The 16,900-nt window shown below is 45.9% G+C and overlaps 1 long non-coding RNA gene and 2 pseudogenes across 1 annotated transcript; 2 read left to right on the plus strand and 1 right to left on the minus strand.

Annotated features, from left to right (window-relative positions):
* Nucleotides 206–482, plus strand: CYCSP48 (CYCS pseudogene 48; annotated as a pseudogene).
* Nucleotides 400–8,394, minus strand: LOC105377244 (uncharacterized). Its single transcript, XR_938675.3, has 3 exons — nucleotides 8,164–8,394; nucleotides 5,869–6,035; nucleotides 400–5,002 (listed from the first exon to the last, which is right to left on the minus strand). It is a non-coding gene; the product is annotated as an uncharacterized LOC105377244 (long non-coding RNA).
* ANKRD36P1 (ankyrin repeat domain 36 pseudogene 1) lies at nucleotides 8,639–14,183 on the plus strand (annotated as a pseudogene).

Consider the following 16,900-nt stretch of genomic DNA (forward strand, 5'->3'; position numbering starts at 1 on the left):
CCTGGGCAACATGGTGAAACCTTGTCTCGATAAAAATACAAAAATTAGCTGGGCATGGTGGTGCATGCCTGTAGTCCCAGCTACTCGGCTGGCTGAGGTGGGAGGATGGCTTGAGCCCAGGAGGCAGAGGTTGCAGTGAGCCAAGATTGTGCCACTGCACTCCAGCATGGATGATGGAGACAGAACTTGTCTTAAAAAAAAAAAAAAGTGTGCCCAATGCCACACCAAGGTAAAATGAGGCAAGCACAAGAGTGAGCCAAATCTCCATGCTCTATTTATGCAGAAGACAGGTCAGGCCACTGAATTCTCTCACAGACACCAATGAGAACAGAGGCATCACCTGAGGAGAGGAGACACTGATGGAGTATTTGCAGAATCCCAAAAAGTACATCCCTGGAACAAAAATGACCATTGCCAGCACTAAGAAGAAGGCAGAAAGGGCAGACTTGATAGCTTATCTCAGAAAAGCTAATAATGAGTAATAATTGACCACATGACTTTTTTATGTGTACATAATTTAATAGCTCTCTAATATACATCAGAATTCAAATCATGAATAACTCACAGAATATTTTTGTTGAGCAGTCCTGATTTAATTAAGACTCGCTTGTGGTTAAATGAATACATCCGGGTTTTTTAAAATTTTAATAGTAATTCTGATTCAGTAAATGATATCACTGTTTCCCCCTTCTAAAACTATGATTGGGCTTAACTCGTAGTGTTCAACTTTTCACAAAGATGGTGAATGCCATCTTAAAACCTATTAGAGATTGGCTTTATATTTAGATTTATATAACTAGCTATATGAATATATTTAAATACTGGGGAAATGTCTTCACTGTCTCAGAACCAAGCAAGACACATCTGTGTTCTGTGTTCATGTGCCTCTTAAAGGCAAAGACTTAACATAAGGTAACAATGTCTACTTTATATTTCTGGTCTGAACTATGTCAATTTAATTAGAATTCTCTGTATGTAAAATGGTTCCTTGGCTGGGCATAGTGGCTCATGCCTGTAATCGCAGTACTTTTTTGGGGCTGAAGTGGGAGGATTGCTTGAGGCCACAAGTTGGACCACATAGAGAGACCTCATCTGTACAAAAATTAAAAATAGCCAGGCATGGTGGTGCATTCCTGTAGTCGTAGCTACTCAGGAGGCTGAGGTGGAAGGACGGCTTGAGCCCAGGAGTCAAGGTTGCAGTGAGCCATGATCCTGCCATTGCACCCCAGCCTGTGTGACAGAGTAAGACCCCATCTCAAAATATAATGGTTCTTTTAACTTCTCAAAAGGCATTTTGTATGGCTTATATATAATATCAAATTAAGAACAGTTAATATTTCTTGAAAAAAAAAAGAAAAATACAGCCAAAACTAATTCTAGAATGATAGAAATTATAACAGTGGTAGCCTGGGGGAGGATGAAGGGGTGGTGGGTAGAACTTCCAAAGGAGGCAAAGATGTCCTATTTCTTGATTGGGTGATGGTTACTATATTAGGCTATTCTTGTGTTGCTATAAAGAAACACCTGAGTAACACCTGAGAAACATTTGAGTATATTTTCAAATACTAATAATTACATGGTTTATAATTTATAAGTCCAATTTCCGGTTATTTTCATTATTAATACTTTTCCAGTTATCTACCCTTTCTAAAAGAGAATACAAAATGCTTCTTTTCCTTTTTTTTTTGTTTTCAAGGCTAGAACCAAGACAGGCGCAAAGGTCAGGGCAGATCTAGGGCACAAGCAGGGCAGGCTAGGGCAGGGCAATGGCAAGACCAGGCCATGGCAGGGCCAGCCCAGGATAGAACAGGGTACAGGCAGGGCAGCACCAGGGCCACAGCTGGGGCAGGACGAGGACCAGGACCGGGGTCCAGGCCAGGGCAAGGGTATGGCCAGGGCAGAGGTAGGGCCAGAGCCAGGGTGTGGGCAGGACCAAGGCAGGTCTATTGCAGGGCCAGGGTTCAGACCAGAGCCAGAGCAGGGCTGGGACAGGGCCAGGGCCAGGACCAGGAAAGGGCAATGTCAGGACAAGGGCCATGGCAGGACCAGCAACGGGGCTAGGGCCAGGACAGGGACAGGGACAGGGACAGGGTCAGGGCTAGGGCCTGAATAGCATGCCAGGGTAGAGCCAGGCCACATTAGGGCCAGGACAGGGTCAGGACAGGGCCATGGTAGGGCCAGGTTAAATCAGGGACAAGACACCTGCAAATCCACTTCAGGGCCAGGGTCAGGGCAGGGCCAGTTCAGGGCCAGGACCAAGACAGGTCCAGGGCCAGCGCTGTCGGGGTCATTGGCAGGGCCAGGGCCATGGCAGGAGCAGGGTCAGGAGCAGGGCTCAATGCCAGGCCAATGCCACAGATAGGACCAGGTCTGTGCTAGGGCCAGTGTGAGGGCCAAGGTGGGGTCAGGGCAGGGCCAAAGGGAGGGCAGGGCCAAAGGGAGGGCAGGGCCAGGGCAGGGTGGAGCAGGCCCAGGGTAGCACAGGGTTAAGGTAGGACACAACCAACCAGGGCAGGTCTATGGCTGGGGCTGGGGCAGGGCCAGGGCTGGGGCAGGGCCAGAGCCAGGGCAGGGCCAAGACAGTGGCAGCTCCAGGGCAGGGCCAGGGTTAGGACCACGGACATGTCCAAGGCCAGTGCCAGGGCAAGGACAAGGGCAGGGGCAGGGCCAGGTTCATCTAAGAACCAGGGACAAAGCCAGGCCCAGAGCAGGGCCAGGGCAGGTACCTGGCAGGGCTAGGGTCTGGGACAGGGCCATGGCAGGGCCAGGGCCACAACCAGGTCTGTGCTATGGCCAGGTCCAACACAGTGCCCAGGTAAGGCTAGGGTGAAGGCCAAGGTAGGGCCAGGGCAGGGTCAAAGCCAGGCTAGGGCCAAGGCAGGGCCAGGGCCGGCAAGGCAGGGCCAGGAAAGCATAGGGCCAAGGCAGGGCAGGGCCAGGCCAGTGCCAAGACCTGGGCAGGGCCAGGGAACAGCCAGGGCAGGGCCAGGGCCAGAGCCAGGGCCAGGGCCTGGGCAGGACCAGGTTTGGGACAGGAGCAAAACAACGGCAAGGACAGTGCAGGATCTTGGCACAGCCAGGATCCAGGACAGTGTCAAGACAGGGCCAAGGCAGGGTCATGGCCATGGTAAGACCAGCAACAGGGCTGGTGCTAGGCCAGTGACAGGACCAGAGTCAGGGCAAGGACCAGAGCAGTGCAAGGCCAGGGTAGGGCCAGGCATTTCAGGGTCAGGGCCAGGGGAGAACCAGGGCAAGGTCTCAAGCAGGGAAGGGCCAGGACCAGGACAGGTCCAGGGCAGGGCCATGACAGGGCCAGGGGCTGTGTTAGGGCAAGGGCAGGGCCAGAGCAAGGTAAGGGTCAGGGCCAAGACCAGGGTAGGGACAGGGCAAGAAATATGGCAGGACCAGGGGCAATGCCAAGGCCAAGGCTGGGCCAGGGCTGAACCAGGGCTGAGTCAGGGCAGGGCAGGGCAGGACATGGTATGGCCAGTGCAGGACAGGACAAGAGCCGGTCCACAGAGAGAGCAGGGCTGATGCCAAGAAAGAGCCAGGCTAGTGCCAAGGCTGAGGCAGTGTCAGAGCATATCCGGGGAAGGGTCGGGGCCAGGGCCAGAACCGAGCCAGGGAACAGCCAAGGCAGGGTAGGGCAGGGAAATAGCATGGCTGGGTCAGTACTGGGACAGGGCAGAGCAGGGCAAGGCGATGGTAGGGGCAGGGCAGGGACAGGCCAATGCAGAGCCATGTTACACCAGGGCCAGGACACCTCCAAGTCCACTTCAGGGCCAGGGCTATGGCAGGACAAAGACCAGGGCCAGGGTCAGGGCCAGGTCTGTGCTAGGGCCAGCTCCAGAGCAGGGCCTAGTGAAGACTAGGGTGAGGGCCAAGGTAAGGCCAGGGCAGGGTCAAAGGCAGAGTAGGGCCAGGGCAGGGTGACGACACATCCAGAGCACAGCAGGCAGGGTGATGGCAAGACCAGGGGCAGACCACTGCCAGCTCAGGGCCAGGAAAAGGCCAGTGCAGAGCCAGGATAGGGTCTGGGTCTGGGTCAGGGCTAGGAACAAGGCAGAGCAGGGCCAGGGCCATGGCAGAGTCAGGGCAGGTCCTTGACAGGACCAGGTTCCAGGCCAGGGCCAGGGCAGCAGAAGGGGCAGGGCCTGGATAAGAGCACGGCCAGGGATATGGCAGGACCAGGGCTAGGGCCAGGGCCAGGCCATAGTGAGGGCAGGGCAAAAGCCCAGGTAGGGTCAGGGCAGGTCCAGGGAGTGACCAGCACCAAGAGGGGCCAAGGCACAACCAGCGCACGGTAAGGCAGAGCAATGGCACCACTGGGCCATGACAGGGCAAGGTCAGTGCCAGGAGAGGGCAGAACAGGCAGGCCCATGGTGGGGCCAGGCCAGGGATGGGCCAAAGCAGGTCCAGGACATGTCCAAGGCCAGGTCAGGGTCAGAACAGGAGCGGGACCATGACAATTGGCAGGGCCAGTGCCATGACAGGACCAGGGTCAGGACAAGGGGCAGGGCCAGAGCCAGGGCCAGAGTCAAGGTCAGGCCAGTGCAGGTTCAGGGAAGGGCCAGTGCCAGGGCAAGACCAGGGCAGGGACAGGGTAGCACAGGGCCAAGACAGGGTCAGGATGGGACCAGAGCAGGACGGGGCTGAGAGTCCAGGTAACAGTAGGGCAAGTACAGGGCAAGGCAGGGCAGTATAGGGCCAGATCCATGGCAGGGGCAGGGCAAAGCCAGGCCCACTGCCAAAGGACCAGCCCTCCCTACAAGGCTCCTACCACCTGGCTACTGGTGCAGCCCATCCATCGCTGTAAGCCTGACCCCCAACCCTGGCTGCAGGCACCTGCCCTCCTAGCGTGGCCGCTCTCCTACCGCTCTGGCGCACTGCAGTCTCCATTGCTACCACCCACCCGCGGCAAGGCAAGTCGTGGTGTCACAGGCTATAGGTGTCTCCTCCTCCTCCTGGCATGGAGCAGCTGGGCGGGCAAAGCCAGAAAAGCCTAGAGGAAGATGTGAGGGGTGGAAGGGTTAGAGCCTCAACTTGTCATGCCGGCCACTGGGTGGCAGGGGCCAGTTTCAGTTTCAGCAAAGGCACTCACACCTACCCTCCAATGTCCAGCCTCTCCTTTTGGCCCAAGCTGGCCAGGAACTGGGGTCTGGGGTGGGTGCTGGAGACACCACAGCACCCAGCTCCCCACTCCACAGGAGCCATTGGGCCCACTGGGGCTGCACTCCTCGGGGAGCAGGAGAAGCAGAAAAATTCAGACCCAGCCAGCCCTCTGCACCCAGGTGCCAATTCCTGTTCCGGACGCCTCCACACACAGGGCCCTGTCCCCAGTGGTGTCCCCAGGGGTGCCTGGCAGCCTCCAAGGCACAGACCCAGAGCGCACAGGCCCAGGAACCACGGTGGGTGTGGGGGCTCTGCCGTGCTCAGGATTCCATGCAAACGCTGCGTGCCTGCCGCACTCCAGTATGACCAAGAGTGGGTCGCCCTCTGGAGTGTGGAGTCAGGGAGAGGAGAACCACTCCTTCCTTGGATGCCAACTCTGCTGACTGCCGCCAGAAGTGCAGCCCCTGATAGCACTGAACTCGCCCCCCATCCACGGCTAGTCCTGCCCTCAATAGCTTCCCCCACGTCCGTCCCCCAATGCAGCCAGTAGTGTATACCCAATAGTGCCCTAACCTGTCCTCCTCCATGGGCATTGCAGCCCCAGAAAGTGCCCATAACCCACCCTCCCTGCCATGGGCAGTGCAGCCCTGTACAGTGCTACCAACCAGTACCCCTAATGTAGGCAATGACACCCTGGATAGCGCCCCCAACCCACCCCACACTGCGAAAGGTGCAGCCCTGGTTAGCCCGTCCTACCACTCTGGTCGTGCTGCAGTCTCTGTCACCGCCACCACCAACCACAGTGAGGCAAGCCAGTGGGTTGCAGGCTCTAGCACCCGGCAGCCAGGCACGGAGCAGCTCTCTCCAATGGTCTGCTCCTACCACTCTGACCACGCTGCTGTCTCCGTGGCCATCTTCTTTGACTACAAAGGAATAAAACTAGGTATCAATAAGAAGAGTAATTCTGGAAACAATACAATCACATGGAAGTTAAACACTATCCTCCTGAATAAATGACTAGCGGGTCAATGAAGATACTAAGACAGAAATTCAAACATTTCATGAAACAAAGGGTAATGAAAACACAGTATACCGAAACTTGTTACACAGACAGCAGTACAAAGGCAGAGATTTACAGCTGTAAGTGCCTACCATCCAAACAAAAGAAAAACTTCAAATAAACAATACATCTTAAAGAACTAGTAAAGTAAGAACTAACTAAACCGAAAATAAGAAAATGAATAAGATCGTAGCAGAAATAACATTGAAAAAAAAAAACACACAAGATTAAATGAAAAGTTGGTTTTCTGGAAAGCTAAACAAAATTGACAAACTTTTAACCAAGCTAACTAAGAAAAAAGAGACAAGATTAAAATAAATAAAATCAACAGATTAAAAAAAGGAGACATTACAACTAATACTTCAGAAATTCAAAGGATCATAACTGGCTATTATATGCCAATAAATCGGAAAGCCTAGTAGAAACTGGCAAATTCCTACATGCATACAGCCTACTTAGGTTGAACAATGAAAACATCCAAGACCAGAACAGATTGGTAACAAGAAATGAGATTGAAGCCATCAGAAAAAGTCTCCCAGTAAAGAAAAGCCCAGGAACTCATGTCTTCACTGCTGATGGCTTCACACAAAACAATTTAAAGACCTAGTACAAATCCTACTCAAACTATTTTGAAAAACAGGAGGGGGCCGGGCGCGGTGGCTCACGCCTGTAATCCCAGCACTTTGGGAGGCCGAGGCGGGCGGATCACGAGGTCAGGAGATCGAGACCATCCTGGCTAACACGGTGAAACCCCGTCTCTACTAAAAATACAAAAAATTAGCCGGGCGAGGTGGCGGGCGCCTGTAGTCCCAGCTACTCGGGAGGCTGAGGCAGGAGAATGGCGTGAACCCCAGGGGGCGGAGCCTGCAGTGAGCCGAGATCGCGCCACTGCACTCCAGCCTGGGCGACAGCGAGACTCCGTCTCAAAAAAAAAAAAAAAAAAAAAAAAAAAAGGAAAACAGGAGGGAATACTTCCAAACTTTTTCTATGAGACCATTATTACTGTGATACCAAAATCAGACAAAGGCATCAAAGAAGGAAACTACAGGCTAGTATCTCTAATATTGATGCGAAAATCCTCAACAAAATACCAGCGAATCCAATTCAGTAATACATTAAAAAGATAATTCATCATGATCAAGTGGAATGTATCCCTGGGATGCAAGGGTCACTCAACATACAATGTGATACATCATATCAACCAAATAAACGACAAAAACAGTATGATCATGTCAACTGAAACTGAAAAAGCATTTGATGAAATTCAACATGGCTTCATGCTATAAATCCTCAAAGAAACGGGTACAGAAGGAACATACCGCAACATAATAAAAGCTACAGGAAAGACACCCACAGCTAGAAGCATATGGAGTCGGTAAAAATGGAAAGCTTTTCCTCTAAGATCTGGAACATAATAAGGATGCCCCCTGTCACCACTGTTGTTTAACATAGTACCAGAAATCCTAGCTAAAGCAATCAGTGCAGCCCCTGATATGGCCCCCAACCCACCCTGCCCCCTACCACCAGCAGTGTCGCCCCCCGCAATAGCACACCCAACACACCCAAACCGCCCCGCCTCCCCGCACCATGGGCATTACAGCACCCCATAGCGCCCTCAACTCGAAACCGCCACCCCCCCTCCAACAGCCGCGCAGTGCAGCCCCGGATAGCACACTTAGCCCACCTCACTGTTGCCAGCAATACAGTCTGGGATAGTGCCCCCAACCGGCTCCCCGCCAAGGCCAGTGCAGCCCCGGTTTGGGCCCCCAAAGCACCCCCCGGGGGCAGGCAGCACAGCCCCAGATAGCACACCCAACCAGCCACCCAAGGCGGGCAGTGACGCCTGAGATAGGGCCCCCAACCCGTCCCAGGCCACCCGCAGTGCAGCCTGGAAAGCGCACTTACCCTGACGCCTTTCTACACTCTGGCTGGCTGCAGCGTCCACCGCTGCCACCCACCTCAGAGCTGCAAACAGGAAGTATTTTACTCACCGTTGATGCGGCCCCGAGTTGTCCCAAAGCGCGGCAGTGCCCCCAAGGTCTGTGCTGAGCAGAACGCAGCTCCGCCCTCGGGGTGCCACCGGCCCGCCCGACCGGGTCCGTGCTGAGGAGAACACTGCTCTGCCTTCCCTGTATCTCCGAAGTCTGTGCAGAGGAGAACTCAGCTCCACCCTCGCGGTGCTCTCGGGGTCTGTGCTGAGGATAACTCAGCTCCGCCCTCGCAAAGGCAGACAGCGCAGGCGCCGACAGCGACAGCTCAGACAGCGCTGGCGCGGCGGACAGGCGCACAGAAGACCTCAGGCTCAGGTTCCACTCCCCAGCTGTGAAAGGGTAAGAACTGAGGGTGGCTGAGGCTGGGGGTTGTTCAGGGCGGGGTGGGCTCTGGACCCAGCAGGCCCTGCACCCAGGCCAGGGCTTCAGGGGAGGCCAGGTAAGGCCAAGATGGGGCCGGGGCTGGTCAGAAAGATCCGAGCGTTGGGAGCCGGTGGAAGAAAAGAGCGCGCGGGCGACAGTCAAACAGGCCTTGGGGCAGGGCACGCCTCGCGCTCCAGGCAGCCCTGCCAGCCCAGGGCACCTGAGCAGCAACCGCCGCCTGCACTGGGCGCGCCAGAGAGCTGCTACGGTGGTTTCTCCCCCTCGGGCCTGTTGGGCGGGGCCGTTATGGTGCACGTGCTCGCTGGTCCTAATGGTTCTCTTGGGCGTTTCTGCTGAGAGGCGGGAGGCGCTGAGAGTCTGTGCGAAGGTCCGTGGACAGACTGCATTGCTTGTTGTGCTTCAGAGGCGGTGATCCCCAGAAGGCGAGCTGAGAAATACGGCTGGAGCGTTCCCAGGCTACAATTTGCAGCGACGATTATGGAAGTCTACGAGCTGGAGTGGTAGACTTCACCAATACCATTTCACCAATACCACATTAAATTGTCTCATCTGAGGAGGATCCACAGAGCTGTCCTCTATGGTAGTCTGCAGAAACTGAACTACCTTCTGTCGACGTATCATGATGCCAATAAGAGAGACAAGAAGGGAAGGTAATGGGGGCCGGGAGCCGGGGCTGCGGGAAGAGGCCCGTGGATGTGGAGAAGTACCCCCTTCCAGGCTGAGGGCTGTGGGGCGGATGGTCCGGGGCTCGGGGTATGGACAGGGGCTAGGAGGTGCCTGGCTGGGGTGGGAGTGAGTGGAGCGGAGCCCGGGGAGTGGGGGTATAGGGGTTGGCGGGGTGTGGAGTGAGTTGGGGGATGGCAGTGGGGAGTAGGGGGTGCATGGGGTGGGGGTGTGAATGGGCTGAGGTGGATGGAATGAAGGCTTTTGAGGTAGGGGTGTGGACGGTGTGGGGTGGGGAGATGGGGTGAGGGTTCAATAGGACAGAGGATTGGAGGTGGGGGTGAGGTGTGGGGGTGAATGGGGTGGGGGAAAGGGGTGCAGAGGTGAGGGGGCCGAGTCTTGTCACCAAAGGGGCTGGACTTTCTTTCCTGGCAAGCTCAGCCGCACCTGGGATGTGGAAACCTTGGGGGGGGGCGAGCACCCAGGCCATTTTCACGAGCAGCAAAACAAAAACAAAACTTCAGCTTGTTTCCAATCACTCACCATGCTTCTTGTTTATAAATCATTTTAAAGTGATTTCACTAATACAATTCAGCATGTACAGCGTTTTATTTTTAATGTACACATTTTAAAGCATAATGTTACATACATTATGGAAAAGTGCATAATGACAGAAAGCATTTCCATAATATATCAACTTCCTGACTAAAAATTCTTTGGATAAAAATCCAATATTTATTTGATATCGGTGGACACCTATGTCAATGTGGTTTTCACTTAGAGGGAAACTTTGAAGTGGGAAGATTGTGTTCTTGAATAGAAAGACACATTTTTCTAAAGTTCTGAGCTCTTTCTGTGTTTATAAATTTTACATAATCCAAATAAAGTTATCAAAGTGTTAACATTTTTGAATTACTCATGCTGTCTTTTACTATTGTGATGACATTAACAACACTTTTGAAATGGAGTCAAAAAAGGCTTGCCTTTCTAGATATGAAAATGTGCTGTTAATTTTCACAAGTTATTTGCTAACAGCTGAAACAACAAATAAGTGAATGGAACAGGTTAGAAAATCCAGGAACACACCAATATGTGTAAGAATTTATTAGCTTTGTGCAAAAACAATTGCGGTTTTTGCCGCAAGTACAAGTAATGGCAAAAACCGCAATTGCTTTTGCACCAATCTAATAAAATTGGATAATGGTGACATTTCATATTAGTAGGAAAAGATGAATTACTCATAAATGAAGTGCCTGCTAACTATTTGGAGAAATCTGGCTAGATTTTTATGTCACAGAAATAAGTTCGTTATGGAATGTAGATTAAAAATTTTAAATACACAAAATAAGAAAGATAACAGAAAAAAACACAAATGCCTACTTATGTTGATACATGTTTATATTCCTACAAATATCACAAGCAGACATTCTGAAGGTCGATTTAGCAAAATAAAAAAAAAATCCAGTTTATAAGAAAAAATTAACAAAAGACAATACGTGTATATACATATTAGATAAAAAAGTGATTTTCATTTTACAGATAATTCTTCAAATAAACAAGAACTCTCATTTAAAATAGAGCAAAGCATTTTTTTTTCAGATATTAAAGCAACCTATACACATGGGAAAAAATATTTAGTGTTCCTGGGAGGAGAAGGTATTTAAGTTAAAAAAGGAATGAAATACTCTTTTCTATCCACAAGTTTGTGAGGGTAAAGAGTAGCAGTACATATACTGCTGTTTAAAGTTTACATTTCTGATGATTTTTCAAATAGACAATTTGTTGGTAAGTATCACACTTTAAAAATGTATGTGCCCTTCACCCATCAATTCCATTATACTAAAATATCTCTGGGAAATAGAGATACATGCAATTTGTTTTTCTCAGCACTGCTTAAAATAGCAGTGTATTTGGAAAACCCCTTATAATGGATTTTATAAATTTTATAAATTTATCAATAAATTTCGGTGCATCCATACAATGGGACAATATGGGACCTTCACAGATGTCAGTAGATACAGATGTATGTTGAGGTGTGAAGATGTACTCTGAAAAAAAGTTGGTTTGATTATACATGCACACAAACAGTCTATGGTGTTTATAAGCCAAGTATGTGTACAAAATATAACATTTCTTTTCTGGCAGGTGTATTGTGATATTTTTTCTTATCTGTGATGTATAAATGATCAGTATGTTTAAAACTTCTAGTACATGTGTTTTATTAATGAAATTATCATTGGGAAAAGAAGAAATATAAATCTTACAAAGAAAAAATAATTCTCACTTTCTATTTTATTTTATTATTTATTTCTTTGTTTGTTTGTTTATTTTTGAGATGGAGTCTCGCCCTGTCGCCCAGCCTGGAGTGCAGTGGCATGATCTCAGCTCACTGCAGTCTGCCTCTCAGGTTCAAGTGACTCTCCCACCTCAGCCTCCTGAGTAGCTGGGATTACAGGTGTGCATCACCATGTCCAGCTAATTTTTGTATATTTTAGTAAAGACTGGGTTTCAGCATGTTGGCCAGGCTGGTCTCAAACTCCTGACCTCAGGTGATTCCCCCGCCTGGGCCTCCCAAAGTTCTGGTATTACAGGTGTGAGCCACTGTGCCTGGCCTTATTTTTATTATTTTGTTTATTGGTATCTTCTGTGAACTTTTAGCCTCTTCAGAGGCAGAGGGAATATTTTTATTTGTGCTTATTTTATTATGCATAGATTTTAGTATATAAATAGGTTTTTATTATAGCTTTATTACATATATGCAAACAATTTTTAATTATTTTAGTTTATCAGTGTCCTCATGAAAATGAAAACGAGCAAATATAAGTGATTATCACTATTCCAAGAGCACTGCTTTAATTTGTAGTTTTTTTCGTAATAAACTCCCCAACTGTATGTATGCATTCTTTCAATCCAGTTATTTGTCAAGCATAACCTGAATACCTATTATGTAGCAGACACATTCCACCATCTCTCAGGACTCTTCCACCCTTAACAACTTCATGTTTACCTGCCCAGCCTGAGCAAGTTGAGATTTAAAATGGAAGCATTACGACTGAATCCTAATTGGGTCTTTTATTCCTTTTTTTTTTAAATAAAAGCAATTCTGAAGTTAGAAAATAGTGAAAGATAACCTTTAACTGCCATTTCAAAAACTTATGACCATCTCAAATACTACTATTAATCATTGCAAATACCTAATTTACATAACATTCTGTAAGTATTGAAAAAAATGAGCGATACCTATTCATATGAATCCTGAGTTTCCTTTGGATTTTTTTTTTTTTGGAAAATTGAAGTAAGAAGTACTTTGTTTTAAAAATTTGTTTTTTTATTTTTGCCTTCTTTTTCCACAGTACTTTATTTAGGTGCAAATTATATGAGTAGAACTGCCTGTTCTATGTACTGTATCCCACTTAATGTGAGGCATCATGGATTAGGTGATGCCACATTACTTTATATATCGATAAGATAATGTTTAAAACATTGCCAGTTATAATTGTAATAAGTAATGAATTGTAAACAGTATTCCAATGTCAAGAGATGTTAATATATAAGAGAATAGTAGCTTATATAAGAGAATAGTGAGAATATGAGCATCTGAGAATGACTGAAATACAATGATACATCTAATCTTTAATAGATACCTCAATGTAGATATGATTGTATCATTTTACTTAATTAAAATGTCTTTGTAAGTAGTAATATCTAAAAATTATTGAGCTGTTATTTGTGTTAGAAAGTGTTCTAAATGCTGTGCATAGATTGTTATGTAAGCATCACAGCAGTGTTCTGTGGGATAGCTACTATTCTCATATATTTTATTGATAAGGAAATTGAAGCAAAGAAAGGCTAAATAACAACTAAGTGACAGAGATTACAGTAAATTTTAAGCCCCAATTAAACTGAATCCAGAAGCCAAGCCTTTTCTATTAAATAGCCTGCTCTTTCATTAATGTGGCGAGTAATAAGTGCTAACAAATGTTGTACCTTCTTCACAAGAAAATTACATATTTGTGTTGAAGACAGAGAAATAACATGCTAATTAATGCTTACAGTTACATGGTTTAAAAAGTCCTGTCACTCTCACAGGACTGCCCTACATTTGGCCTGTGCCACTGTCCAACCAGAAATGGTATTTCTGCTTGTGTCCACAAGATGTGAGCTTAACCTCTGCGACCGTGAATGCAGGACACCTCTAATCAAGGTATATAGTAGTTGAATCTTTGAGCATGAGATGGATTTGGTTTAAATATGTAGGATAAAATGAATTTATCTCATTGGAATACCACTATATAACTAGTTAGTAAATCCTACGGAGTGTTTATTTTGATTTTTCAGTATTTGCGTGTTTCTCAGTCTAATACTGACAGGCTGTACAACTAGGGCAGGAGGCTTTTGCAACTATTCTGCTGCCAAATGGCGCCGATCCAAATATTATGGATTTCTTTGGAAGGACTGCTCTACACTATGCTGTGTATAATGAAGATACATCCATGATAGAAAAACTTCTTTTACATGGTACAAATATTGAAGAATGCAGCAAGGTATGGGTCAACCAATGTTATTATCAAACTATGTGAAATGCATTTATTTTAACATTGACCCATGTAAGGGTCAATTTTTCATATTTGGAAACTCAAACATTCCTTGAATGAAAATATTTTGAAATGCCTTAACTGTCAAAGATTTTACTTTAAATATTGGAACTTTTAAAGAAGCATTATAAGGTATGGCTTTTTTTCATGCACTTATGGTAAATAATTATAAAAACAAATGAGTTACAATAAATTTATAATTCATGACAACTGAATTTGGGAGGGGTAATAGTGAAGTGTTTTTCCACTAAATTACTTTTTTCTAATCAGTGTGAAGTGACACAGGAAAGTAAAATTGGCCCTTATAAATAGGCTTTATTTTAAATTTCAAAGAAAATTAAAGAATTTCACAATAAATGTACATCTTGTTGCTGTTGACAAATATTGTATGTGAAGGTGATTTCATTTGAAAGTGATTCCTCTGTGGAAAGGCTTAAGGGGGAAATATGAAGAAAAGGAGAGCAATCAGAAATGCACAAGCTAATTTGGAAATTAGGTAATGAGGGAAAATACTGTGGAGAGGGTTTTTGTGTGTTTTGTTGTTTGTTTTCAATTTATATGTTTAGACAAGGATCGTTTCAGTTTTGGGGATGATTATTCTTACTTTGGGAAAGAGTTTGTGAGTTGTAAAATTGCCCAGGGATCAATTTTGGTAGGACTCTGAGGAAACCAGGTTGGCAGTGAATAGTGGTGATGATGTGGCACACAGTTCAGCAGAGAGAAGAACACATAATTAATGGACATTATTCAATTCTGGCAGAAAAAGCCACTTAGATAAGCATCTAAACTCTACTCTCAAGTCCAGAATGTCTTGATGGGCAGGTGGGAGATAAGGAGCTTATAAATAGTAAAATCAAGTTGGATTTTGAGTTTACTGGTCTCTTTTCTACCCCTACCCAGGAAAAGTAAATGAAATTTTCAGTGAATGGCTCTATCTTTTGCTCTTTCCTCTTTTCGGCCAAATCCCAAATGATAAAGGGAATTTGCCACATGGGTGAGAGATGAGACTGAAGTGATTATCAACTGTGCTGGTTCGCAGTTAGAATTGTGCATGGCAGTAACCTGGGGAAATTAAAAGCAAATCTCTTAAGTCTAGGATATCCCCTGAAGATTTTAATATAGTAAATCTAGTATTTACTATTAAATATTACTGGACATGTATGTTTTAAAATATTTCCTTGAAGCTGGGCATGGTGGTGCCTCTAGCCAGAGCCACAGAATAAGACACTGTCTCTAACAACAACAACAACACCAACAACAATAAACAATTTCTTGAGACACTGATACACTGCTGGTCAAGAACCACTGAATAGATAAGTGTAATATAAATTCCCATATCTCAAACACATAAAAAATCTCTAGAAGAGTTAGATGATAGGAGCTGCTTCCTTTGAATTTCTCCTTTCCAATAATAATGGCCTGACTTTTACCTGTCTCTACCTCTGTGGGTGGGAAGTTAAAAGAACTATTACTTGCAATATCTATCAGAGTAAGAATAACACCTTTTCTTTGCCACCATCACTTATGCACTGCCATTCATAGGGTCGTTAGAAATTTGCTATTGTGGACTCTTTTAATAAGTAGAGACTGACTCTTTCAGGACTCTGAGTCTCTTTGTTATCATTGTGGTGATTAGGTCAATACATCATTATTAAAAGAAGGGTTCTCTCAATTACAAGAGTAAAAAATTCTAAACCTTTTTTTAAAGCTGAAGCTCTATTATGGACTGCCTCACTATGTCAGTTAAGTACACAGAACTATGGCATAATCAGGATAGCAGTTTTAAACACTTAAAACCATGAAGTTAGTAAGAATACAGAGAATACATTTAGGTCATTATTAGAGCTTTAATTGGTAAGCCATCGTATTTTTATTTCTGATTTATATTTTACCTAAAATAAAAAAATTAGGTTACAATATAGAAACTAGAATAATTTAATATTATTTTAATAATTTAGTTGCAGCAGTCCTGTGAACTAATTATCCATTTGGTGAACAATCTGGGAAAATTAAACATAAATTATGAATTAATGAATGTTGTAAAAGTGCTCAAAGTGGGGATTATGACTCTTAGTAACAATTTTAATTGCATTCTTGAGGCTATTTTGGAAAATAAAATCTGAAACTAAAGAAAGGAAATATTTTACACGAAAATACTTGTTTTATATAGAATCGCTTGGAGACATATCCACAGCAAATATAAAAATACAAGGTCTATAGTCTAAATGTGTCTCATAGATGTGTTTAGTTTGCCTCTATAAATTGTCTCACAATGGAAGGTTTAGGAGACTCGTGCACAGATCTGGATTCCAGGCTTCTCTTCAAGAATCCAATCTGGTGTCCCTTGAGCCTATCTCATGTTTAGGACGCTGTGCAGAGGTTGCCCCTTTCTATGAGGCATGTGGTCTACATTTTGCTACTGTACTTCACTTCCTCAGGTCATCTCCCTTGCCTCTGTAGGGATGACTTTACAAGCCCTGTTTTATAATATATTTTAGTAAATATTTCAAGGTTTTCAAGACATTTTATATTTATTTAAATATGGAGTCTATATTTTATATAAATCCCTTGGTAATTGGGTTGAACTTTTGAATTTAGATGGTGGTGTTTTATAAATTATTTTTCTTTATATATACCATAAATAGTCATCTTCCCATTAGAATGCATGGAAGCTTTTTAAGGTGAATCATGGTATAGTTGCATAGGTTACGCATATTGCAGACAACGTTATATTTTTCTCTTCAGCATTGCCTCCTAAAAATGCAAATAATTGGCCGGGTGCAGTGGCTCATGCCTGTAATCGTAGCACTTTGGGAGGCAGAGGTGGGTGGATCACGAGGTCAGGAGATTGAGACCATCCTGGCTAACATGGTGAAACCCCCTCTCTACTACAAATACAGAAAATTAGCTGGGTGTGGTGGCACACATCTGTAGTCCCAGCTACTCGGGAGGCTGAGGCAGGAGAATTGCTCGTGCTTGAATTCGGGAGACAGAGGCTACAGTGATCTGAGATGGCACCACCACACTCCAACCTGGGTGACAGAGCGAGACTCCGTCTCAAATAAATAAATAAATAAATACATAAATAAATAAAT

Source organism: Homo sapiens, chromosome Y, assembly GCF_000001405.40.
Source record: "Homo sapiens chromosome Y, GRCh38.p14 Primary Assembly".
Classification (NCBI taxonomy): Eukaryota; Metazoa; Chordata; class Mammalia; order Primates; family Hominidae; genus Homo; species Homo sapiens.